At 35.2% G+C, this 27,977-nt stretch overlaps 1 long non-coding RNA gene across 1 annotated transcript; it reads right to left on the reverse strand.

Moving 5' to 3' along the window:
• Positions 1 to 2,674: 2,674 nt before the first annotated feature.
• Positions 2,675 to 4,342, reverse strand: LOC105372170 (uncharacterized). Its single transcript, XR_935584.2, has 3 exons — positions 3,955 to 4,342; positions 3,054 to 3,161; positions 2,675 to 2,842 (listed from the first exon to the last, which is right to left on the reverse strand). It is a non-coding gene; the product is annotated as an uncharacterized LOC105372170 (long non-coding RNA).
• Positions 4,343 to 27,977: the final 23,635 nt, after the last annotated feature.

Below are 27,977 nucleotides of genomic sequence, written 5' to 3' on the forward strand. Positions count from 1 at the left end.
AATACCAGAGTAGGGTGCGTCCTTAATGCAATGTAACTGGTGTTCTTTCAGAGAGAAGAAAGGGTACACAGACAGGCATGCAGAATGTCGTGTCATGCCATCATAGGGGTTATATGCCTCCAAGCCAAAACACCAAGCATTGCTAGCAAACAGCAGGAGCTTACAAAAAGCCATGAAACACACTATTCCTCAGAGCCTTCCAGAAGGAATTAACCTACAAACACCTTGGTTTCAGACTTCCAGCGTCCAGAATAGTGAGAGAAAAAATCTCCATTGTTTTAAGCCATCTACATTGTGGTACTTTGTTATGGCAGCCATGGGAAACGAATGCAGTAAGTTATGGGCCTTTGTGCCATTTGGTCTCAGTCATAACTACTCAGTGCTAACTGTGTGGCTGTAAAGCAACCTTAGACAATGTGAAAAGAAAACAGCTCTGTTCCAATAAAACTTTATTTACAGAAACAATCAGACCGACTTTGGCTCCATGGCTGTAGGTACACCATATGCCATTCCTCTTCCTCCCTTTTCCTCCATGTCACTCTCCTCCTTTTTCATCTCCTCCTCAGATGTCTCCTTGTTCCTCTTTCCGTTATCATCCCCCACCTTCCTGTTCTTGTTATTCTTATTAGTATCATGGTCAGAATAACTATTCTGGCTCTGTACCTCCCCTAACAGGATTTTGGTATCTGATAGAGTGAGTATAAAATCAAACATGATTATCCTAGAGAAAAATATACTTAAAAATTTTACTTCATTTTAAAGATTAAACTTTAGTTCCTCTTTTATTTCCGGAGTTTCAAATTATTCAGCAGATGAATCATATATTTTCACAATCTAATCATGTTTGCTTCTTCTCAGGCCCCATTCTGAACAAATAATTGTTAATTTTTAGGACTTCTTCATGAAAAATCTACATTTATTAACTCATTTAATCTTTAGAACACCACAATCAGGGAATTAGTATTATTATCTTCATTTTGCCAATGGTGACACTGAGACCAAATAAGATTTATGTAACATGCTTAGTCAATGGTCCTTTGTGTTTGGCAGAACTAGTATTTGAATGACACTAGAATTCTTACTTTTATATTTTACCAACGACATCCTACTCCGTAATGATTAAAATAAATTTTAAATATTTAAATATTAATATTAAATTTTAGTAAAAATTATTTTTGTAAGACATAAAGCTAATATGTCAGTAATTTTATTTAATATCCTGAACACATACTATAAATATTTTGAACCAATATTTCTTTGTAAATACTCACTAGTGATAGTTTAAATATTGTAACATTCTCTAACATGTATGTTCCAATTTTGTAGTAGGAAAATCCATATGTCACCATCCATCATTTGTTCACATCATATTCTTCTAAGTGAGATTTTAAAAGGAACTAATGCAATTAACCATTGGGTATTTATTTTCAACCATGCCATTTTAGATTTAAGTATTAACTACAAATATTTAAATAGTAGATATCATTTATCTTAATGTAAGTATGTTATGTAAAATATAATTTGTGGATCATTTATAATGTAGTAAAAATACATTATGTTTGCAAAACATACTTAACAGAAAAAAACTCTTCAAAAATCAACATAATAAACAATTTGTAATATTTTGACAAGTTCGAAACCCGTTTGGGAAAACTTAACACTCTAACAATTGTTAAACTACCAATTCTGTTTTCGAATTGGAATTTTTTGTCGGGGGGTGGTGCAGTAAATAGATTGAAAGACATGAACTACTACCGATAAACTATATCCAAAAATTGGTTTTCTCACAAATCTGCTATGATCAAACCGAAACTGTTGATAGGACATATAATTTCTAATTTGCATAGAATAAATTACATAAATAATTGCTAATCTAAATTTATATAATCATTAATTTAAAAGACTCATTTTTCAACAGAGAACATCCCATCACACTTCAAACACATATAGCAAACTTTGTTTCTAGAGTCTTTTTTAAAATAATTTTATTTACAATTCTTTGTAAATTGTTTCCATGGACATTTTTGCTGAAGTTGTCAAATCTTTGTTTTATGATGAAACTTTTATCTCTCTGTTGTAGTGCACAAAGGGATTTCAAATGCAATGTTTTATTCATTTTTCAAAGTCCCACACTCCTGAGAATCTCTACAGTTTTTAGTTTTTTTCTTCTTCTCCTAGAATTTAGTAACAGTGGCATGTTGGGAATGAGACCCTGTCTCCTCCCTCAATCTTTTCATTCCCTACTTCACTCACTCCCCTGCCCTTAACCTCTCCCTCTAACTCCTTGCCTTTTAGAAAATCCAGCTTCCAAATGGGACTTCACACTGACAGGGAGAAAAAGAAAAATTTATTGCTTGAAGTTGTCTTTCTCTTTAAAGGCTTTTTTAGTGACAACCTTTCTTCTCTTAGAAAGGAGAAAATGGCAAAGGTGAAAGGTTGTTACTATACATTTGAAAGCGTCAATTTCTGTTAGGAATAAATTTTTACTTAGATCTAGATAACACCTGCTAGGGCTTGGCCCTTGTGCACACTTATTCATTACTATTTTAACATGAATTTATTTTAGCTAGAAAAATAAATCCTGTGTAAATCTGTATAAAGATGTAACTTGGAATTTAGATTTAAGTTAACATAAATAGCATGTTCTCTGAGTCAGTAATATTTGCTAGGGGAGTTGTATTCTTTAAACATAAAATAATACTAATTTTTTCAATCATTTAATTATGTGAACTTGGGAAATCCCAAGTGGAGTACATACTGCATTTCAGTTCTTTTTATATAGAAAAGATACAAGGGTCTGAGAGTCTGTCTCATGCTTCTTTGTTTCTTGTATGTTGGTGAACTGTAATGAAAATAAAATTTAGCATTTAAGGAAAGCATAGATACAATTTTATTTATAAGGATACAGTACCCAATTAAAAATACATATCTTTGTGTGAAATTCTGCTTCATCTTGATAGTTTTATTTTTATCTTCATCCTTCTTTCCCTCCCTTCTTCCCCCATTCTCCCCCTCCCTCCATCCGTCTCAAGTCCTTGAAGTGGTCTACTTACCCTGAAACTGTCTCTAATTCAGCCTCTAGATGGGGGCCATAAGGACCTTTAAGGTTTATTACACATGGTACTCTATGGAGAGGATTGTCAACACTGTGGAAGAAAATCCTGATAGAGAGAACATCGTGAAATTCTGGAAGGATTACACCACTGAAACTGCGACCATGGCTATAGGAAAAGCTGTGAAAGCCACCAAGCCTGAAACAATACATTCCTGCTGCAGGAAAGTGGCCAGATGTTGTGCATGATTTCACAGAATTTGCAACACAGCCTATCAAGAAAATCATAGGCCGGGCGCGGTGGCTCACGCTTGTAATCTCAGCACTTTGAGAGGCCGAGGTGGGCGGATCATTTGAGGTCAGGAGTTCGACCAACATGGTGAAAACCCGTCTCTACTAAAAATACCAAAATAGTAGCCGGGCATGGTGGCGGGGCCCCTGCTACTCAGGAGGCTGATGCAGAAGAATTGCTTCAACTCGGGAGGCAGAGATTGCAGTGAGCAGAGACTGCACCACTGTACTCCACCCTAGGCAGCAGAGGGAGACTCCGTCTCAAAACAAGAAGGAAGGAGGGAGGGAAGGAAGGAAGGAAGAAAGGAAGGAGACAGAGAGAGAAAGGAAGGAAGGAAGAAGGAAGGAAGGAAGGAAGGAGACAGGGAGAGGAAGGAAGGAAGAAGGAAGGAAGGAAGGAAGAAAGAAGGAAGGAAGGAAGAAGGAAGGAAGGAGACAGAGAGAGAGGAAGGAAGGAAGAAGGAAGGAAGGAAAGAAGGAAGGAAGGAAAGAAAAATCATAGATTATGGATATGGCAAGGAAAGGTGGGGAGTGAAGGATTTCAAGATATGAATCTTGGAGAAGTTCAAGAGCTAATAGGCACCACACCAGAGGAATTCACGAAAGATGACCTGATAGAGATAAATGCTTTCAAACCAGTGCCAGACAACCAGGAAGAAGACATAGAGGAAGCAGTGCAGGAAAACAAATTGACATGAGAGAATCTGATAGAAAGGCTCCAATTATTCAAGACTGATTTGAATTCTTTTATGACATGGAATCCTCTATGACACGGGCACTGAAACTAAAGCAAATGGTAAAAGAAGAGTTGGTACTGTATAGAAACAATTTTAGAGAAATGGAAAAGTAAAAACTCAGGATTAAAATATATTTCTGTAAAATTACTTCAGGAGTACCTGTCTGTCCTCCCTCCTCTTCCGCCTCCTCTTCCTGACCTCCCTCAGCCTACTCAACGTGAAGATGAGAATGAAGACCTTTATGATGATCCACTTCCACTTAATGAATAGTAAATATCTTTTCTCTTCCTTATGATTTCTTAATATTTTTTTCTCTAGCCTACTTTATTGTAAGAATACACTATATAATATGTAAACATACAAAAATGTGTTAACTGAACATTTATGTCACTGGTAAGGCTTCTAGTGAACAGCAAGCTATTAGCAGTTTTGTTTTGAGGGAGTCAAAAGTTACATGCAGATTTTCAACTGCACACAGGGTCAGGCCCCCTAACCCCTACATTGTACAAGTGTCAATTGTATATTATATCAACTAAACTAAAAAGTATGGAATTTCTAAAATCATATTTATAAAAACAGTATAAATGATTGAAAAACTATAAAACCAAATACTGATAAAGTTAGGTATAAGATTACTGTAATTTTAAATATAGGTATAGAGTCAAGAGACAATTAAGAACAAAAGTTTTACAAGGAAGAAAAATACATATTTAAAAATAGATACATGTTAAAGTATTGCAGACAGTGTTTTTTTGGGTTTGGTTTGTTTGTTTTTTGTTTGTTTGTTTTGACAGCATCTTTCTCTGTTGCCCAGGCTGGAGTGCAGTGGCACGATCCCTGCTCACTGCAACCATCACCTACTGGGTTCAAGCAATTCTCATGCCTCAGCCTCCTGAGTACCTGTGACTACAGGCGCATGCCACCACGTCTGCCTAATTTTTGCATTTTTAGTAGAGATGAGTTTTCACCGTGTTGGCCAGGCTGGTCTTGAACTGACCTCAAGTGATCCGCCTGCCTAGGCCTCCTAAAGTGCTGGAGTTACAGGCGTGAGCCACTGCACCTGACCTGGTAGTGTTCTTAATAAGAGTATTTTGAGACTAAGGTAGCGTTTATTTTAAGCCTAGCTAGTTTTATTATTTAGCTTTCTAAAAGTTTTGTGGGAAATGCATTTTATGTTTGGACAGTTCTGGAAGCAGATGCTGACCAGCTTCATCTAAGATGTTGATAATTCAAGAATAGCCATGTGCTTCTCCGTAATTACTCTGACTGCTTGGTCGACTACTGTGGTAGTTACTGACTAACATACCAGCAATGTAGCATTGTATGATAAAATTCAAACTTGTAAGGTATTGGTTGTTTCCAGGCAAACCATTTGCCTTGATAAAGCATGCAAATAATTAAAATGGTATGAAGAAGTAGGCACTAAAGTAAAAGATTTAGTATTACCAACTTCTGAGTAAGGAAACTAGCTTACTTGGATTAAGCTACATTAATCATATTAAATAAATGATTAGTTTTATGTTTTTTAGTGTGGGTACAAAGAAATTAACTAAACAAACATAGAATGCTTGGAACTAGACAGCAGCTTAAATTTGGAAGTTGTGTAGATGATTTTACTACTCTTATCAAAATTATTTGTTAAGCTCTAAACTTTGAATGATCCAGTAGGAAGAATTTTCATGAGAAGTTAAATGGATATTGTTTCTTTGATTTTGAGAAGGAAGAGTCTCATGGGCTCTTTTTCTAGGCATGATGTTTATGTTTGCATTTTAGTAACGATTGAGAATTGGAACTGACAGTTTCTACATCTTGCCAATTTGTTAATATAAAGCATTTTGAGTATTAAAGGACCAGACACCTGGGATAAAATATGCCCCCCTTCCAAAGATTTCATTTCCGTGGGTGGATAATTAAGAGTTATCAGACAGAGATTAGTAGAAAAACTTTGTAAAGCAAAGGACTATAGTATCAAAACTTACAGAGGCTTTAAATAACTAGGAATAAATGGAAGTAAGAATTTAGTATGCCTGTGTCATAGAATATAATAAAGAACTGGTGGAAATTAAGTGGGGAGATATAGGAATAGGACAAAATGAAGGGTCTTTTAAAACAATTATAATGTTTGGACATTATTAGGTAGATTATTGCCTCTAGAATTTTTGTATTTCACAAGTAGTAACATTTAAACAAGAAGACAAAAATACTTAAAATAGGAACCAATATATGAGTTTTATTTTGACAAATATATACTTGGAAAACAAACAGAAGCAATAGCTATCATTTATCATCTACTATCAACAGATTGACTTCCAAAAAGTAGAAATGTTATTACAAAATAATGGATGCATTTAACTTATGTAGAAAAGTCATGATATTTTCACATTTTTTCTCACTCTACCAGTGAGACAGATGACAGTGTCCTCAGAGAGACATTTGGTCTGTGAATCGGCAGTTTGAAACCAGGGCTACAGGATCACTGACATATGCAATAGAGAAAGAGAGATATAGAACTTCAGGATTGCTAAATAATTTGCTCAATTTATGTAGCACTAAGTGATGGTACTTATGATATTTATATTGCTCTTGAGAAATACAATGCGTTCTAGGCAAATATTTCAAAGTTGAAGAATAGTCAAAAATAAAAATTAGATGACTATCATGATTTCTCCTTTGTTTTGCTGAATGTATTTAAATAAAGAAAATTACACCTGGCAAATCATCATTGAGATAAAACATCTGTTGATTACTTTAAACCATCTATTACAACTAAAAAGAATTATTAGTTACTTGTGTTCACCCTTAAATGTTATGTTAGCTAAACTATTTCTTACATGAAGAGCATATCAGCAAGAATTTTAAGGAAGAAAAATGTATTCCATTGGTCTCAGTTATTACATAGCATGCTGTAACTGCATGGTTAAGAAAATCATATCAGCTGTGCCTTTCATTGGTATATTATATCCAATTTTAGCTTTTCCCAGTGAAGCTCTATGTATAATTTGATTGTAAGTATTTAAAAGTTCATCTCAGCAGAAGATTCCTTAAAAAATGTGAAGAAAAAGGAAGAGAATGACAAGCATGATAGGCATTGGGGTGCTGGTTCTTAGGTCTAGTCAGGTTACTTAACTTAACATGTCTAAAACTAAAATTCTAACGTTCTCTTCCAGTTGTGCTCTACCAATTGTTTCCCCGTGTCCTATAATGCCAATACTAACCCTTCAGTTACAGAGGCCTAAAACTTTATCATCCTTTGCTCTCAAAGTTCACATCAAGAGCTTTTCTCCTAAGTTTTTTCTCAGGAGTTTCATGATTTTGGGTCTTCTGTTTAAGTGTTTAATGCAGCGTGAGTTGATTTTTGTTTAGGGTGCTAGATAAAGATGCAATTTTATTCTTTTGCATGTGGATAGACATTTTTCTCTGGAAACAGATTTTAATAAATTTCAAAGGACATACAAAGTATATTCTATGACCACAATAAAATTATAGTGGAAATTAATAACTAATCTGGAAATCTCAAATGTTTGTATAAAAAGCAACAAATATGTCTTTAATAACACATAAATCAAATAAGAACTTACAGTAAATGTGAGAATATATTTTAAATGGAATGAAAATAAAAAGTATATCATAACTTGTAGATTTCAGTTATGGCACTGCTGAAAGCCAGACTTATAATCATACGTATGTACGTTGGAACATATAAAACAATAAAAAGTCAATGACATAAGAACTTATTTATAGGAAGTCACGTAAAGAAAATAATAAGCCCCACAATGGAAGAAATAAAGGAAAATGTAAGAAACAAAGAAACAAATGAGAGAGAAGGCAGACACAACTGAAAAAATTTAGAAAGAAAAATAAATGGCATTTTAAGAATAGAAATAAAACTGATAAACGATTAGCAAGATAAATCAAGAAGGAAATAAATAAACCAAAATTTTTAAGCATCAGGAATGAAAAGAAGGGATATCACTACAAACCACACAGACATACAAAACATTGCATGAGTATCTCATTAACAATTTTGTATCAATATATTTAAAAATTTAACAAAATGAGAAAAACATTTGAAAACACAGAAATAACATAAGAAATAAAAGATAATTATAATTAAAGAACTTACATATACCGCGCGCGCACACACACACACACACACACACACACACACACACACACAGACACATAGTCTAGGCCCAGGAGCTTTAACTGGTGAATTCCTGCCAACATTTAAAGAAGAAATAATATAAATCTTATGTACAGTATTCTTGAGAATAAAAATGAAGAAAACACTTCCCAGTATATTTGATTACACAAACATAACCCTGACAACAAAAACTAGTAAGAACATTATAAGAACAAAAAATTAAAGGCTACTCTCATGAGCACAGATGTAAAATCTTAACACATTATCAACAAATGGAACACAATAACCTAAATGGAAATAATACATATGAATAAGTATCATTTATTTCAGAAATACAAGCTTGGCTTAATATTTGAATGTCAATAAATTTATTTAACCACATTAACAAAAAATTTAAATGGTTCCTTCAATAGATGTTGTAAATGCATTTGATAATATCCAAAATTATTAATAAAGCGGAGATAAAATAGAACTTTCTTAGACCTATAAACAGTGTCTGAAAATCTAAAACTAAGATTATACTTAAATGCAAAATACTTACTGTTTTCCTCTGTGTTCAGTAATAAGACAGAAATTTCCACAATCATCGCTTTTAATAATATACCTAGTGAAATTATTCAATGAAAATAAATGTAAGTATAAACACTGAAAAGAATTTTAAAATTTACATTAATTTTCAAATGATTTAATTTTATTTGTATAAATTCAGCAATTTTACATATTAACTGATGAACAGTTAATATGTAAAATTAGCAAAATTTCTGAATTCAAAGAAAATATATAAAAATCATATGGATTTTGAATATATTGGCAACAAGCAATTAGTAAATAAAAATCAATAAATGCCAACAAAGATTACAATACCACCAGCATCAACTATCAAACATGTCAGAAGTGCTAAGAAGTAATGCTCAAGATCCTTTCCTGAAAACCATAAAACCTTGTTAATAAGGATTAAATACCTTAACAAATTGAGAGATAAACTATGACAATGGTGTGGAATACCTGATAATAAAGTTGTCTAAGTATTTAATGAAACTTCAATAAAAAAATCGCAGGAAAACATTTGGTAGAAATATAAATGGGCAATGGTGTACTGGATAAGGTAAGTGTGGTCCATATACACTATGGAATACTATACAACCAGAAAAAATGAAATCATGTTCTTTGCAGCTACATGGATACAGCTGGAAGCCATTATCCTAAGAGAATTAACACAAGGACAGAAAATCAAATATGGTATGTTCAGTTATATAAGTGGGAGCTAAACATTGAGTACACATGGACATAAAAATGGAAAAATAGACACTGGGGACGACTAGAGGGGGGACTGTGACAGGGGAGTAAGCGTTGAAAAACTGCTTGTCAGTACTCTGCTCACTACCTGGCTGACAGAATCATTTGTACTCCAAACCTCAGCAACACACAATTTGCCCAAGTAACAAACCTGAACATGTCTTCTCTGAACCTAACATAAAAGTTAAAAAAAAATAATAATAATGGCAAAGCAAATGGCCTAGATCTGCCATGGCAAGTTGGAAGAAAATGTTCAAATATGAATGACTCACACTACCAGATATTGCCTTTTTAAAATTTACCACAATTAACACAGTATGCTATCGGTACCAAGATAGACAAATAGTTCAAAATAAAAAAAATAGAGTACAGAAACAAACTTATGTGTGTGCTATCAGCTCATGCTGATAAAAGCACCAGTAAAACTCACTGGGAAAAAGATCACCATTTTCAGAACTTACACCGCATAAACTCAATAGTCATAGGAACAAATGACACTTAAACTTTACAAAAAAAGTACACAATTAATTTGGAATAGACCTAAGCACAAATTTGTATTGTATAACAATGAAACTTCTAGAAGAAAGCATTAAAAAATCTTCATGACATTTGATATTTAAAAAAATTTAAACATGAAAAATATTTACCATAAAGGTAGAACAGATAATTGGCAGTTCACTGAAAGATAATATTAAGATACTGAAAATGCCAGCCACAGACTAGGAGAAGGTAGACATGTGCACGTATTGGTCAGCGGTCTCATATGCAGAACATATGAATAATAACAAGAAATAAATAAGTGAAACAGAAGCAAATCAATTCAAAATGACAAAAAGACCCAAAAAATAGTTCCTTAGAAGACATTGACGTAAGCTTCTGTAAGAATAAATGGCATGGTACACTTAAGATATACACACTTTGCTGTATATAAACGGTGTTTCACAAAAAAAGACAAGCAAAAAACACCTTTTTTTCTATGTCTGATGACAACATTGTATTGTTTTCAGAGTATATTTTATACATACACATATATATATTAAAATGCTAATTTTGTTTATGGATCCCAGTGAATTCTGAGAATGCAACCATTAGCATCTTACTAAAGATTCCATAGCTTACTGGCAAAGGAGTTTTTTTCACCAGATCTTGAAAACCATCTATGTTTAGTCACTTTTCCCAGGAACATATAGTTAAATTTTTGCATAGCATGGCCAGGGATACACTGTCTCCCCTTCCCCCAATCTTCTCCAAAATCATTAATCATAGTAAAGATTCAATAAAGTCACTCTTAAAGCCCTTGACTTTCCTGTTAATTTTTTTCAACTTTTATTTTAGGTTCAGAGAGTACATATGCAAGTTTTGTTACTTGGGTAAATTGTGTGTTGCTAGGGTTTGGGATACAAATGATTCTCACCTAGGTAGTGAGCAGAGTACCCAATATGTAGTTTTCAACCATCGCTCCCCAGCCACCTTCCCCGCTTTGGTAATCCCCAGTGTTTCTTCATTCCATCTTTATGGCCATGTGTACTCAATGTTTAGCTTATAGCATATTATGAATCATTATAAGAACATCTCTATTCAACATACTTAAACGTTAGAATGATGTGTTGCATTGACTATCAGTTTTCACATACATAAAAGGATGACTCTATAATTGCAAACTTGAGATAACACTGAAGTGTAACGATTGGCTATACTAAAATAAAAATGAAGTTATGGAATACATGAGATAAATAGGGTTGAGGTATGTCATGTTTCCATCAAGAAACAAGGATTTTTCTATTCTTTTGCAGCAGAGGTTTTGTACATGTAAATTCAAAGTACGGTTTCATTTCAGGATTCACTGCTTTCAGGTGACAGACTAATTCTTAGTACTTTCTTAGTTCTTAACTTTCTTAATTTCCTAAGTCTCTCAAAGTTCATAACAAAACCATCTTTTATCAGAAATGATGTTTAAAATGAAAAGAATTTTTATGTTAGCTGGGTATCATTGATTTTTTTTGGAGAAATTACTCAATGATAATCCCACTGTTTGACAAAGAGAATATTCCTTCTTAAATTCTTATTTGTGTACTTACTTTGCTCTTTTATATAAAGCAATTTCTATGTAAACTAAAACCTACACCCAAACTAAAGTACACAGCCTCATATGCAACAAAGGAAAGAAAGGATTGACATGCTATAAGGAGTATGCAATATTTACATGAGGGGTAATAAAATAATTCATTGTGGTTTATTGAAGGTTTTTGAAGCCTCTTGAGAGATTTATAACATTTTCATGTATAAAAGTAGATGGTGGTAAGAAATTATATGTTATGCATATTTTATCACTTTTTAAATAAAAAGTAGATGATGTTGAACAGCAGAAAACAGAGATGCATAGATTATTTTCAGGATCCAGTGATTAATATTCCTTTGTCAGTAAGGAGCTATTTTAACATTTTAAACAGTGGAGAAGTCTTATCAGGCGTGTTTTTAAAAAGAAAAATATTGAAAGCAGTTTTATAGTATTTTAATTTTAATTTTATTTTATTATTTTAGTTTTGAGACAGACTCTCATGCCTCACTCTGTCACCCAGGGTGGAGGGCAGTGGCCCGATCTCAGCTCACTGCAACCTCCGCCTCCCAGGTTCAAGTGATTCTCCAGTCTCAGCCTCCTGAGTAACTGGGATTACAGGTATCTGCCACCATGCCTGGCCAATATAGCATCCTTAAGAGACAATTTTCAAGGAAATTGAAGGACTAATTGCAATAAAACATTAATAAGACTGAGAATTTAAAATACTGGAAATGAATTTCCAGTATTTAAGAATTTAAAATACTGGAGAATTTAAAATACTGGAATTGGATTAAAAATGGTTGACTAAGAAGAGGAAGATTTAAATATCTGTTGAAATTTTGAAACTTCAAGGCTAACTTTGTGAAAACACAGGCACTTAGTCTTCCAGATTCATTAATTTAGCATGAATAGATGAATGAATGAATGAATGATGTTATTTGGGTAAACTGTGTGTGGCTGAAGTTTGGGGTACCAGGTTTAGTTTACAGGCACAGAGGTCTTGCAAGATAAAAATATATTGAAAGGAGATGAGAAATTCAAATATGAAAATATAATTGATCAATAAGATGTCATTCACGACCTTCTGGAAATAACAGTTTTAACAGAGTTGTCGTAGTGAAGCAATTAAATTTGAATAATCAGTTTTCAAACAAATCTACTTCTTTCCCTTCCTGCAATATTTAATAGAGATTTTAATGGGAGTGATAAGCATCAGATAAAGCCATATTTAATCCGGTGCACGAGGATTTACCCTGTTTTTCAAAAGTCCTGGCTCCTTTTGATCGTTTTTCTGCTTCTTTAAGCCTTGTCTGTTTTTGATTTCAAAGTCACACATGATGCCTGTAATTTTTCTTTTTTCTTTATTTTTGATATTCTTATTGTAAAACATATCACTTTCTAATTTGGGACCAAGATATGTTGTTCATTTGGACTTTAACATTGATATCCTAAGTCATGATATAGGTAAACCATTCCCCCTAATGTGGACCTGTGCTTGGTTTGTATCAATAACTAGATTAAGAAAGTTAAGAAGGAGTTAAAATCTCTTTTGGTTCAACAAGTTAAGTAATTATTATTATTGAGCACTTAATAGATGCTAGACATAATGAGAAGTCAATGAATATAAATTAGTTTGTAAAAAAATCAAAAATCTTCTTTTGACAATAACACAGTTTCAAATACCTCTGACAGGTACCTCCTCGCCTCATGGCAACAGACTATTGTTGATTTAAACCTAATTTTATCCTTCTTTGAGTCATCTTCCTACCTACACCATGACAGTTATTATCAGCGAAATGTGTTAACTGTTATCATGCATTATATGTAAGCACTTATACATTATCCTCAAGATATGTCCACTCTTCAAATTTGATCTACCCTCTCTTTTCAGGACACTGAGTCATGCTGCCCACTTTAATTATGCAGTTGCCTGTACCTGAATTCTTTCAGCTTGTTTTAATACTTTGAGACCAGCCTTTTGTGTTTTGTTCATAAAGTCTTTCTTCTTAGCAATGAAAAGCTAGATTGAGCATTACTTCCTATGAAATTTACAGACTTTTGTTCATAGAGAACAATTTAGCAGTGGAATTCTTAATGTGTTGAGTAATTGAAGGATTTAAATCTTGCTTTTTCCAGAATCAATTACATGCTTCTTCAGAATAATATTTCTTTTACTTGAAGTCATCAGGGAACCCAAAATACAGAATGGGTGTTTAATTAACATCCGCACTTGGTTATTAATTGGAATTGCTAATCAATAATATTTTAAAATTTTATTTGTTAAAATTTAATTAATGTGTAATTTTATTTATGTTACTTTTGTGGTGATTGCACTGTCTTTTCAATGGTATATTTTTTATTGGAAAAAATATATTTAAAATAAGACTGGAGTTTAAAATAATACATTCAATTGAACATAAAGATTTCCAAGACATATAAATGCTACCCATATGTTTTTTGTTTTTCTTTTTGTCTTTTTACAGAGTCCCACTCTGTCTCCCAGGCTGGAGTGTGGTGGCGCAATCTCGGCTCACTGCAACCTCCATCTCCTGGGTTCAATTGATTCTCCTGCCTCATTCTCCCAAGTAGCTGGGATTACAGGTGTCCGCCACCATGCCTGGTTAATTTTTGGATTTTTAGTAGAGATGGGGTTTCGCCATGTTGGCTAGGATGGCCTTGAACTCTTGATCTTAAGTGATGTGCCTGCCTCGGCCTCCCAAAGTGTTGGGATTATGGGCATGAGTCACCATGACAAGCTGGCCCATATGTTTTGAATGAAAGAGACATTCAAAAGTCCTTCAAATCAATTTTGTCATTAAGCACACAACCACACATGTGCTAATTGCAGCAACCAGCCCACTTAAATGATGTTAAAGTACACAGGGCTGTTGGTGTCGGTGAATTGGGTTCCTCATTTTCTTGCTGTTTTATTTTGCTGGTTCTCTGTGTGTGGACAACCTCTTACTGAGGCTTAAGCATATGGTATATATTGTTGGGATTCCTGGTGTGTACGCATCTAAGGTAAATGCTTAATTAGCTGTATATCATCAATTCCACATGTGAGTTCTTTTTTCTAAATGTTGCTTTATAAAGTTCCACAATAACATATTCTCTGCAGTTATTATTTTAAATGTATTTATTTATTTATTATGGATATTTGCTCTTCTTGCCGAGGATGGAGTGCAATGGAGCCACCTCAGCTCACTGCAACCTCCGCCTCTATATCCCCAAAGATTAAAAAAAAAAAAAGTTCCAGGGCTTTTTTTCTCACTCCAGATTTCCTTTTCCAATTTTGGGATTTCTCATTTTAAGCAGAATAGATATATATTTTTTGTGGCTTCCACCGTAACTCATGACGTTAAACTCACTATTAATGGAGATGCATTATAGCTGAGAAAAGTTTAAAGGCTTGCTGCAATGCAGAGAAATAACCTGACGGGTTGCTTATCACAATTGCATCTCACCTGCCCATACCTTTCGAATTTATGAAATTGAGCTGAGGATTCTAGGAGAAAATGCAAGTTTTACAGCGAGATTTAATCTTCCTGCAAGCAGCTAGTCCAGAAATACCATAACAACAGCTGTTCTCACAGAATATTAGCATTTCTGCTTCTGGTCTCAGCTGCTTCTCTGAAGTGCAAAGAAATGCAAACATGGAAAATGTTCATTTTTAACATTAGCTTGAGTTTGGAAATCAGGGGACATTCATCGATCCCCAAAAGTAATGGATACACATTTCTGCTGATTATTTTATTCCTGAAGTAATGTATGACATGCATAGAATATCTTTTATTAACTATAGGAGGGTGCATATTCATGATTTGGCAGATGATTTTCAACTATGGTCCATAAAGTGAGTATAGTCCTTGATGACATGTGAGACAAAAATAAAAGGTAACTCTCATCTTTTTAATATCGCCATACTTTAAATTTCATTCCTTTATATTTTCATGCCCATGACTAAAAAAGAGAAACTATGACAGAAACTGTATCAATTTTGGTAGTATTTTTCCCTTCAAATTTGTTTATTTATTTAAATTAATAAATAAAAGTGTATGCATTTATCAGGGACAACATGCTTTGAAGTATTGTGGAATGGTTAAATTTAGCTAATTAACATATGCATTACCTCATATAGTTATCTTTGGTAGTATTTTAAGCTAATAAACTCTCCTATCCAATTTTTACCAAGAATAATTTTATCATAGATCACTTCCAACGGGGTTTTGAAGATGTTTATGTCATCGGTAGAACTTTCATTTAATTCATCTTTTAATTTGTTTTATTGAATACCTGTAGCCTTCATAATTATTAAGCTCCACAGACAACATGATTCTCAGTGATCGCATCAAAATAAGCTAACCAGTGTTTAACAATAAGACACATGTCTTCTATTTCCCCGTATTATTAGAGGGTACTTTGCTAAGTGTAGGGTTCTTTAGAGTTTCTTGAGAAATAATTGATAAACATTGCAACTGACTATTTCTTGGCATAGTGTTTAATCTTCTCAGGAAATATGAACAGTTCATTAGGCTAAACATGAATAATTATGTTTCTATAATTGTGATTAATCAAATAATAATTTGCCTTGCTTAGATACTGTCCTATTAATTGTTTTATTTACCCAGTGTATTCATAACAAACTCAAGGATCTTGAAGCCTTTTGGATGGTGCTTTTTTTTCCCTTAAATAAAAATCCAGCTGGGCATGGTGCCTCACGCCTGTAATCCCAGCACTTCGGGAGGCCGAGGCAGGCGGATTACCTGTGTTCAGGAGTTAGAGACCAGCCTGACCAACATGGTGAAACCCCGTCTCTACTAAAAATATTAAAAAATTAGCTGGGCATGGTAGCACATACCTGTAATCCCAGCTACTTGGGAGGCTGAGGCAGGAGAATCACTTGATCCCAGGAGGCAGAGATTGCAGTGAGCTGAGATGTCTCCATTGCACTCCAGCCTGGGCGACAGGTGAAAATCCATCTAAAAAAATAAATCAATTTAAAATAACAACTGCAGAGAATATTTTATTGTGGAACTTTGTAAAGCAACATTTTAAAAAAGAACTCACATGTGGAATTGATGATATACAGCGAATTAAGCAGTTACCTTAGATACATACACATCAGGAATCCCAACATCTACCACATGGTGGAATCTTGAGACCATGTCTTCTTTTTACAGAAATGCTAATGGGCTCTTAACTCAAAAACTCTAAAGAACTCTACACTTAGCAAAGTATCCTCTAATAATAGGGAGAAATAGAAGACATGTGTCTTATTGTTAAACACTGGTTAGCTTATTTGATGCTTTTATTTCTTTTATCATCATTGATGTATTTATTGTGGAACATTTTTTACTTTTACATAGGCGATTTACAATGGTTCATATTGAGGACCAGTTGCTTTGCCAGCAAAATATTGATATCTTTAACTCTGTTCCTAATATATCTCACACATATCCATGCAAATACAAGAGGTTGGAGTTTGCCCTCTTCACAGTAAAAAATTCTTTCTCACTTGCCTCCTAATATCTAGGGATTTTTTTTCTCTTTATCTGTTAGAACAATAGCAAGGGAAGAGCTAATGTATGAGGCTTATGAATTGTACTGACTTTTGAAAAAAAAGAAAATAATCTATAATGAGCACTATTTCATAAAAATGTTTCCATACTTAACATTCTTTCTTTTCAAGTTTCCACTGTAAAATATAAACCTGAAAATAGATTTTAAAGTTTAATTATGTTATGTCCATCTACATGCATCTTACACCTTGTCCCAAGACATATTTTTGATAGTACAACTCAAGCAGGTGAACTAACACTGGTAGTTACTCTTAGAGAAAGTTCATGAAATCACACCTCTTTTATGTAGTTCATTTACATATAATTAAATCTAAGCTAAATTACAAAAATACAGAAATATGTTATAGCAAGAGAACGCAGGGAGGCGGAGAATGAGAGGGAGAGGAAGCAAAAGGAGAGAATGAACATTTGAAAGCTAAAGTGATGATATTCAGTGTAAAATGTAAGGAAATATCACGTGGAGAAGATGGTATTGGAAACAGATTTTAAATGATAGGTAAGATTTTTCTAAAGAGTAGAAAAAAATTTCTCAGTACAGGAAAAAAGGTGGCAAAGTAGCAAGATTTGGGAATATTAAGAGAAAAAAGAAAAATTTACTTTGACTTGACGGGATTTTTTACAGGAAAGTAAGAGGATATGAAGTAAAAATGTTATGAGCCAGATGGTGGAAGGTCACGAACATCAAACTGAGGAGCTAATCTTTGATTTGGAAGGCATGGGGGAGTCATTGCTTGGGTTTAAGAGGAATATGGCTCTACACAGCAGGAAAATCATCCCTCTAGGCACAAAATTCCAGTAGTTTTCTATACAGTGTTCTGAAATAGGAAAGCCACTGGGCAAAATTAAAGCAACAATTTGACTATAGTCTTTAATTTTGACCCTATTGTTTATAAATATAATTTTATTGTGAAATAATAAGTAATTGGTGATGGTGGTCACAGGTGGTGCCTGCTTCTCTTTAATGCACACACTGCGTTTAGAGCAGAAAAATGAGAATTGTTATAAATGTATGCATCCCTATTTTATGTGCTCTCAGCACTCACTGATAAAACTCCCTATGCATCTTTCATGCTCTTCTTGTAGTGCTCTAGCAGAAATACACACACACACAACACACACAAATTCAGGAGTCTTTATCATTTTAGTTAATTATAGCAACCACAGGGTGATTTGGTCTTACCTAATTTGTGCTGGGTGCAATATTTATCATAATTTTAAGCTTAGGATGGAACCCAGTTCTTAAGCATTCAAAAATATATCATGCATTTTTTTAAACCATTCCACAAATCCCTGAGGAGGAAGAAATCGGCCTGATAATTTACAAAATTTGCTTTGAATACAAACGTCACCATGTAAGAAAGACATCATCTCCCACCCTATATCTTTGCCTTATTCTGCATCCCTAGAGAAATTAATTAGCCTCTGGTGATGGCTTCACTCTGTTTCAAATAAAGTAGTGCTCAACAAGCTTGTATACTGGGCAAGAGACTGCAGTGATTTGAGGAAGAAAAGCAAAAAGGCATCATCCCTGCACAGCAAGGGAATCAAAAGCAAAAGAGAAAACAATGAAGCATGAGCATGAAATAACTCACATAGTGAGTGAGGCATTCACATAGTAAATTTATTTCACTGGAAAATATTATCTGAAAAAATTTTATTTTGACATGTGTGTATGATGAATATAATTGTAGTTTGTTTTCAATACTCTAGGTTCTTGTTTCTCAAAATATAAGAAGGCTTTTCCTTTATATCTGTCATAACAGAGAACATGTTCAATAACATAACGTTTTTGTAAACCTTGGGCACATCTGTTTGGTGAGTGGAGATGGACAGGTAACTAGCCATTCACATACATACATATATATATACACACACACACACATATATATATACACATATATATACACACACACATATATATATTTAAGTTGGCAATAACTTATGAACCATTATAAATTATTCTTCTACAATATGCTAACATGAAAATGTATGGTATTCTTCTTTTTTTTTAAATTCAATGCTCTCCATCAGTGAACTAAGGGGAAGAAAATAGTGTTGGCTGGTTTTTTTTTTCTTTTTGATATGCCTTAGAAATCCTGTTAGAATTGAATTAAATATTTACACTATGTGGCGGATTTGTTCTGAGCCAGCTTAGTTAAAATGGAAATACACTTCCCAGAAAGTTCTTTTCTGTGCAATTATAGGGTGGTGTGGTAGCCATAATAATGGTCCCCAAAGATGACCATGCCCTAATCTCTATAACCTGTACTTGGCAAACATGTTTTACAAATGTCACTAAGTTAAGAATCTTGAAGTGAGAAGATTATTCTGCATTATCTCCCTAGATGGATCTAAGGAAATAACAAGGATCCTTAACATATGAAATGGGAAGGCAGAAGAGCCAGAGAAAGAGATGAGAATATGGAAGCAGTGGCTGGTGTGATGTGATTCCTATCTTTGAAGGTGCCACAAGTCTTGAAATATAGGAGGCTCCAGGAAGCTAAACAAACAAACAAACAAAAACAAGGGAATAGATTGTTCCCTAGAGTCTCCATATGGGATGCAGCCCTGCCTGCTTATGAGAGCCCTCTGAGACTCCTTTCAGACCCCTGACCACCAGAGGTGTAAGATAATATAGTTTTGCTAGAAACTACCAAGTTTGCGGTATTTGTTCAGAAATAGGAAACTATAGAAAACAGGAGACATTTGTACAAGATTTGGATGGTGAAAATAAAGAAGTAGTTATTTTTTCCACACTGTTAAAATCAGAATTATGAACCAGCACATCAGGATTTCATGCACACCACACCATTTGTCCTTGTTGGTTTGGGGAAGCACTTCCAGCTTTGCAGGATCACTTTAGTTCTCTGGGTTTTGGTACCAGGTATGTACGCAGCTACATGGTAAAGCATGCCAGCTTCTGTTGCAGATCACCTACAGCATCAATGTTGGAGCTGGTGAGGGATGAATGCAAGTTCTGGTTTGTCATCAAGGATTCCCACTAGGGCTTGTGTCCATCTCTCCTTTCCAACCACCTGGCTAGATGAACTATGCAATCTTCAAGCCTAACAGTTGACATAGTGTCCTTGAGCAGATTTCTCCATGAGCCTCCCCAAATGCATAACATCAAATCCTTTATTCTATATCACCCCATTAGTGGTATTCTTATCAGTAGGTGAAACCAAACATCTAGGATATTGACCTTTAGGATTTTGGAGAAAAGTGATTCAATTTCTTGTAGATAAATAATCCTTTGGAGAAATACCTCTAACAACTTGTCTTTAGTGGTGACTGAACCCTAGACTGTAGACCACCAAGTTACCCTGAAACCTAAGCTGCCTGTCATTAAGTTTGGCAAGCCTTAAAGTTTAGCATACACAGCGTACTCCATTATCAAATGTAAATGCTTCAGGTTTAAAAAATGACCTAAAGGCATAAGTTGCATGTGCAAATGACTCATAATGTCCCTGGCCCATACTCCTGCTACATTGCCTTCTACTTCTTAACTCACGATGCTGGTCTCATGAGAAACTCCCTGTAATGAGCAGACTGAGTTATAAAAAATTCAAAGCACTGTGTTTAAGTACTATGTGCTATGCTTCTTCACCAAAAGTGAATGTCTGTGACTTTACACTCATTCTCTGTTGTGGCACTGAGAGACAAGGGTGAGGAAAATTCTCCCAATTGGCAAAACTTCAAGTAGTGCACCTGAATGTATGTTTGTTTTAGTTTTCATACCTTTATTATTTCAAATTTATTTATTTTTCATTGAAATATAAAATTGTGTGTATTTACCTTGTACCACATAATGGTTGGAAGTATCTATAGCCAGTAAAATGGTTAAATAAACTAATTAAATGCATTGTCTCACATAGTTATCATTTAATGATTTATAATTAAGTGATGAGAACACATAACATCTACTCTCAGTATTTTTCAATAATACAATCCCTTACCTGTGGAATCTAAAAAAGTTGATCTCATAGAAGTAGAGAGTACAATGGTGATTACTAGAGGCTGGGGAAATTGGGTGGGGAGGGCTAGGGAGTGTTGATCAAATAATACATATTTAATTTATATGGGAGAAATAATACAGCATGGTGACTATAGCTAACGTATGTTTATTTTGCATGGAAGGGTAGACAGCAAAAAGCATGGATTTAAACTGATTAATGAGAAGTGAACAATGGCTTGTGTTTCAAGAGGACAAGAGGGAAGAAATCTGTGGTTAAATCTGTCTGAAAGGACACAGAGTATAAAGATATTTGTAAGCCATTGGAATGCTTGGCAACGAAAAATCTCAGCTAAGAAGAAATCTTAATCAGGTGAACAAGATGACTTGTTCTGTATCTGGCAGTCACTTGACCCAGCCACCTGTGATCCTGCTCAAAGGGCTCGTAAATCAAGCGTCCATGGTAGCAGAAGGGTAGGTTAATGCAATATGGATTGGAGCCACTGCTCTGTCTTCATCTTGCCAACAGCAGAGATCAACACCAAGTCCCCAACATTATCCTGTTTCCATAGGGAGGGTGTTTCAGCCCGCAATGGATGTCAGGAGGACTATACTTCCATCATGGAGGGCAGTGGTTTGTTCTCATTATTATTAGCTCTTACTCTGCATGTGAATTTCTTACCCTGAAAACTCTTCTTCTGCTAAAATTGCCATCTCTGGAATTGCAAAATATCTAATTTACCACAATGGTATCCTAGCCAACATTGTCCCTGAGAAGAATTTTTTTTTTTTTTTTAAGATGGAGTCTCACACTGTCACTCGGGCTGGAGTGCAGTGGCACGATCTCCATTCACTGCAACCTCTGCCTCCCCGGTTCAAGGAATTCTCCTACCTTGGCCTCCCAAGTAGCTGGAATTACAGGTGCCTGCCACCACACCCAACTTATATATGTGTGTGTGTGTGTGTGTGTGTGTGTGTGTGTATATATATATATTTTGTGTGTGTGTGTGTGTATTTATAGTAGAGACGGGGTTTCACTGTGATGGCCAGGCTGGTCTCAACTCCTGACCTCATGATCCGCCAGACCTTTCCAGCCATGCAGAACTGTGAGTCTATCAAAACTCTTTCCTTTATAAATTACAATTATGGCCAAAGGGGAAGTAACCACCTTCTTCACAGGGCAGCACGAGAGACAAGAGAAGAAGGGGAGACTACCACTTATAAAACCATCAGATGTTGTGAGAACTCACTTACTGTCAGAAGAACAGCATGGGAGAAATCGCCCCTGTGATCCAATAATCTTTGATCAGGTTCCTCCCTCCACATATAGGGATTACAATTCAAAATGAGATTTGGGTGGGGACACAGAGCCAAACCCTATCAGCTGGAGAGACAACCAGGATGCTTTGACCTGCAAGGATCTTAAGCAATGACTAATAGGTAATAGTGATCTTAGGGACAAAATAGATGGCAACCTAACTTGGATATTACTTGATTGGAAAAACAGAAAAGAAAGAAGGAGAACTAATGAAGTAAATGTGGAGGTCAGCCACAGCAATTGTAAATAATGACCTATGATTTTCTAAATCTAAGCCAGTTATCAGATGCAGAATGTTTTAACTGAAGGAGAGGTCAGGACTCCTAAATGTGTGTGTGTGTGTGTGTGTGTGTGTGTGTGTGTGTGTGTGTGTGTGTGTACTACACACATTATTGAAAAATTGAAACCACCCAAAAGTTGTCGGTTACCAGGTTTGAGGTGATTCTGATACCAGCAGAACCAAAACACCATACTTTCTGGTTAGAGTGAAAAGTCGTGGAAGTCAGGTGTGATGGTTAGTGTTAAGGGTCAACCTGATTGGATTGAAGGATGCAAAGTATTGTTTCTGGGTGTGCCTGTGAAAGTGTTGCCAGAGGAGATTAACATTTGAGTCAGTGGACTGGGAGAGAAAGACCCACCCTCAAGGTGGGTGGGCACCATCCAACTGGCTGCCAGCACGGCTAGAAAAAGCAGGCAGAAGAAAGTGGAATAAGCTGGCTTGCTGAGTCTTCCAGTTTTCATCTCTCTCTCATGCTGGATGCTTCCTGCCTTTGAACATCAGACTCCAGGTTCTTCAGCCTTTGAATCTCGAACTTACACTAGTGGTATGCCAGGGGCTCTCAGGCCTTCGGCCACAGACTGAAAGCTACACCGTGGGCTTCCCTATTTTTGAGGCTTTGGGACTCAGACTGAGCCACTACTGGCTTCCTTGCTCCTCAGCTTGAAGCTGACCTATCATGGGACTTCACCTTGTGATCGTGTGAGTCAATTCTCCTTAATAAACTCACTTTCATATATATGTATATGCTATTATTTCCTTCCCTCTAGAGAACCCTGACTAATACTTCAGGTGATCAATAGAGTAATGGAGTTCAGGCACACGTATATTTCTGTCACTCCAGAATGTCCATGTACTCATCCTGTGATTATTTTTCTAATCGTGTAGTTAGGATGGATAAACTTTAACTGAAATCATTTACATAAATGTTTTCATCTCATGAATTAAAATCTATTCAGTTGGGGAAGGCCAAGCAGAAGTCCCTGAAACTTTCCTCCTCCACCACCACATAAACAAATTCCATACTAGGATGAATTAAAAAGATTAACACAACCATCAAAGAATTAAAGCATTCTGTGGTGGTAGACCCTAAACATCCACATTTAGTTCCAGTCTGGTCACTATAAAAATCAACAAACTGTGCCAAAGAATGGCAAGGCATCATAAAGTTAAACAAACGGTATCTCAGTTGCAGCTGTCGAGTCCCATATGGTATTGACACTTAAATAATTTAACACCGTCTCTGGCACTGAGTATGTGGTTATTGATCAAAGTTAAGAACTGCCATTAAAAGATAACAATGAGAGAGTTAAAAAGTCAGGCTCCAGATAGATACTTGTAATAATTATAAACATCAAATTATTCATATTGAAATATTAAAAAGTGCTGTGTATCAATAAAAATTCAGGTAATATACTCAGGAAAAGGGCACAACTAATTGTGTGTGTTCTTCACAAAATAAGATATCCAACTGGCAATAAACACTGAAATATACTTAAATTATTCATTATCAAGGTTATAGAAATTAAAATCACAATGTGATACCTCACAATGTGATAACACACAACTCCATTTATCACAATGTGATAAACATGCACCCAAATTGCTAAAGTACAAAAAAGAAATACAATGGCATTGGAGGGATGTGCATCAATGGGAATTTTCATGCTTATTAATAAGGTAGAAACTGGGAGAACAGCGGTTGAAAACTGGTTGGTAGTATATACTAAAGCCATACATCTGTGAACTTTATCACTTAATCGTTTCTCTCCTAGGTCTATTCCAGAGAAAAATTTATATGAATATTTAACAAAGGACATGTAAACAAATCTTTTAGAAGTGCTGTTTATAACATCCCAAATTTGAAAACCCAAATGTGCATAAACAGTTGGCTGATTAAACTGTAATATATTCATAAACAGAATCCTATAGAGCAGAAAGAATAAATAATTTACAACTACATACAATAACATGGACAGATCTAACAAAGATAATGAGGAACAAAAGTCAACAGACATAAAGGAGTACTGGAAAGAAGTGCAGTAAAAAGTACTGAAAAAGGCAAAAGCTATGTGTGGTTTTAGGTGTCAGGATAGTGATTATTATTCATGAAGAAAGCGATGATTAGAAAACAGCTGATGATATTCTCCATCTTTTTGTGGGAATGGCTATAAGGGTGTGTACAGTCTGAAAAGATACCATTATGCAAGCATCTGATTTGTTTCCTTTGAAACCTTTATTTTACAGTTTAATAAACATTAACTTAAATGGAAAACACAGCAGTACAAATCCATTGCCTTGCTCAGGACTATGTTGATTCTTCTGTTCTCTGCCACAATGTACTCTGCAGGGTTTTTGCCTGTTGGTTATTCTGCCGAACATTACTCTGGTGCACTATACTGATGCAACTGTGCTCATTGCGACCACACTAATCAGGCAGTAGTTCTCTGGGTACCATAGCAAGATATATGCACACTAGATGGTGGGAAATAAGGCCCACAAAGGTTAAAGGACCTGCCCCTCAATCACTTTTTTGAGGCTCTAATAGTATAATTCACGGCATTGTATCTCCTCTAAGGCACAAGGCTATTTTTGGAACTTTGTGCACCATCTTACTAAAACTTGCTGGACCTCTTGGATTTCTGAACATGGTATATATGACATCTGGAATGCTATTCCATGGAATTCATCAGGTAACTCAGAAGTATTTGAGCAAGAACATCTTCTGCATCATGTCTAGCCTGAGTACAAACTGCCTTTCCACTCATGCTGGATAACCCCACAAATCTAACACTACCAAAGGTATCTGAGAAGATAAGGTCCATTTTGGAATCTCTGGCACACCAAAAAAAGGAGAGTTACAGAGACCATTTCTTAAAAACGAAAGCCAGGTCTTGACTTGACTGGAAGAGAACTCCTCAGCATTTTAAAAACAGCTGTTGATGTGGTACTTGTCCCTATTTGGGCTTGAGCCCTAATAGAGCATCAATGACTTTGCAACCAGAGCTGCCCATCTTGACCTGCTTATTCTAAGATATATTAGACAGCTTGGGCAGGAGCAGCAGAAATTTATTTATATAGGAAATAATGCATTATAGATCTAGCCTCATAAGGTTTAGAAGGCAAAAAATATTTTGAATGAGTTGGTGACTTAGATTCCTTTGTCCCCTACCTCTGCTACCTCAATGCTTCTTACTCAGTTTATATATGTAGCCTTGTAAAAAGTTCTCCATAACAACCCTGTAAAAGAGAATAATAGCCTTGTTTACAAATTCATCAGATTACCATGCTGCACTACAGTGACTGTGCATTATATTTATTTTGCTACACAATAGGCCTATCAAGGATGGCCTTCAAGGCAATAGTCAGGAGAAATCTTCCCACTGAATGGAGTAGTTAGTAGTATACTTGGTCATTCACCTCATATGGAGAGATGCCTGAAGTAAAGATATAAACAAATTCCTCAACAAGTAGCTCAGATGTTTAGTCAGGAACGTTGGAGAAGAAAGTTTAGAGAACTGGAGCGAAAGGAGTTTGGGAAGTGGAAAACTAGTATGGATATATGAGACTGGGGAAAAAGAATGGTGATCTTTGTTTCTCATTTTCATGAGGAACAGACAGCATCCATCACCAAGGAGGAATGACTAAAACAGAAGGATAGAATTCTTCTAATGCAAGTAAGCTACCTTCTCTTCCTACCCTCTCTTCTTAGCCAGACCAGTTTCTATAAAATGAGCCTGAAATAACCACTATCCATAAACTAACAAAATATCTGATTTGTCAAAAGAGATCCCACATAATATTATCTAAAATCAAGGGACACATTTTGCATTAAAAGAGATGCAACATTTGGGTCAAGACCATAGGATTCATTGGTCCTGTTAAACCATGTCAGTTTGAAGTGTCCATTTAGATGACATATTAAATTCTTGGTTAAGATGACAGCTCAGGGATAACACCCTGCAGAACACAATATATACATTATACCCCAGTGAATACAGGAGTCCTATATCCACAATAGCTAGAATGTGGGTCTGAGTACCAGTGATGTCAGTTTTGGCTCCATCACCATCAATCCTAGAGATGTATTTGTGAAATATGTTCTTCTCAAACTTGTAAGTATACACCATGGTGTGGTGGATTAGAAGTCCTAGTTCCACGGACTACAGATTTCAACTGGCCACCAATTTTATGTCTGTGTGATGGGTTAGACTTTTTGTAGGTTATAAATGTTCTGAATGGTGTAGGGTGTGGATATTGTCTGCCCTATTATAAATCCTTTTTGAACTCTGAATTCCAGCAAATACTACTCATCAAGGCAAAGGTTTAAACTGAGGGCAGCTCATCTCAGCAGCAATGTATTATCTTTCACTTTTTGCCACAGACCTTCTGTGACAGCAGTATTTGGCACATCTGTGGACAACTTAGCCATTTTGGCATAAGAATCATCTGGAAGGTAAAGATCATTCACATCTTGACCAGTTGGTAAGTGCCCTCCTCTTAGGTTCCTATAACGGGCAGTGCCCAGTTTCCCACAGAGGTTATCAACTTTATTACTTACTTGATAAGTGAATTTTTCTTTGTCTTTTTTTCTATGCAGGCTATAAGCAGTTTAATTTTTTAATTTCTGATATTCTTCCATCTTTCATTCCAACAAATAATTATTAAGATCTTAATTTCTTATATGTGAGTAAAATATGTTTGTTTCAATATGATGGTCTTGATTAGATCATCTGAAACTGCTGAGTATTAATATCTGCAACATTTTAATCAGTGGAGGTGTATTTTTGTCAAAGTCCAAGCTATTTTATTGTATTTTCATTCACTCTTGAGTACTAGAGGCCCAGCTTCTGTCTACCATTGTGTACTTGTTTGCAAACTCGCTAGATATCAGACTACTTAAAAATATTTAGCAAATAATTTAATATCATATATACCTTATTTTTCCTTCTGGTACGTGGTATAGCTAAACACATTTAGAGAGCTTGCCTGATGTCAGATTTCCAAAAAGCAGGAAGCTTGGCAAAGAGCAATGGCTACAATATACGCAGGGGAAGAAATGAGTGTGTTTCACCACAGGGTCATAGGTAGCTATACAACTAAAATTAGGTAAGTAAAGAAATTATCAGTACCAATTCATCTCTGTTAATTGTGGAACTCTGATCTGGATTCAGGCTTGCCCTTATTATATGCTTGCATGATCTTTACAACATGGTAGATACTCTTAAAGCTTCAGTTGTCAAATTCTCTACAAGAAGTAGAAAAGGAAGAA

Source organism: Homo sapiens, chromosome 18, assembly GCF_000001405.40.
Source record: "Homo sapiens chromosome 18, GRCh38.p14 Primary Assembly".
NCBI classification, from domain to species: Eukaryota; Metazoa; Chordata; class Mammalia; order Primates; family Hominidae; genus Homo; species Homo sapiens.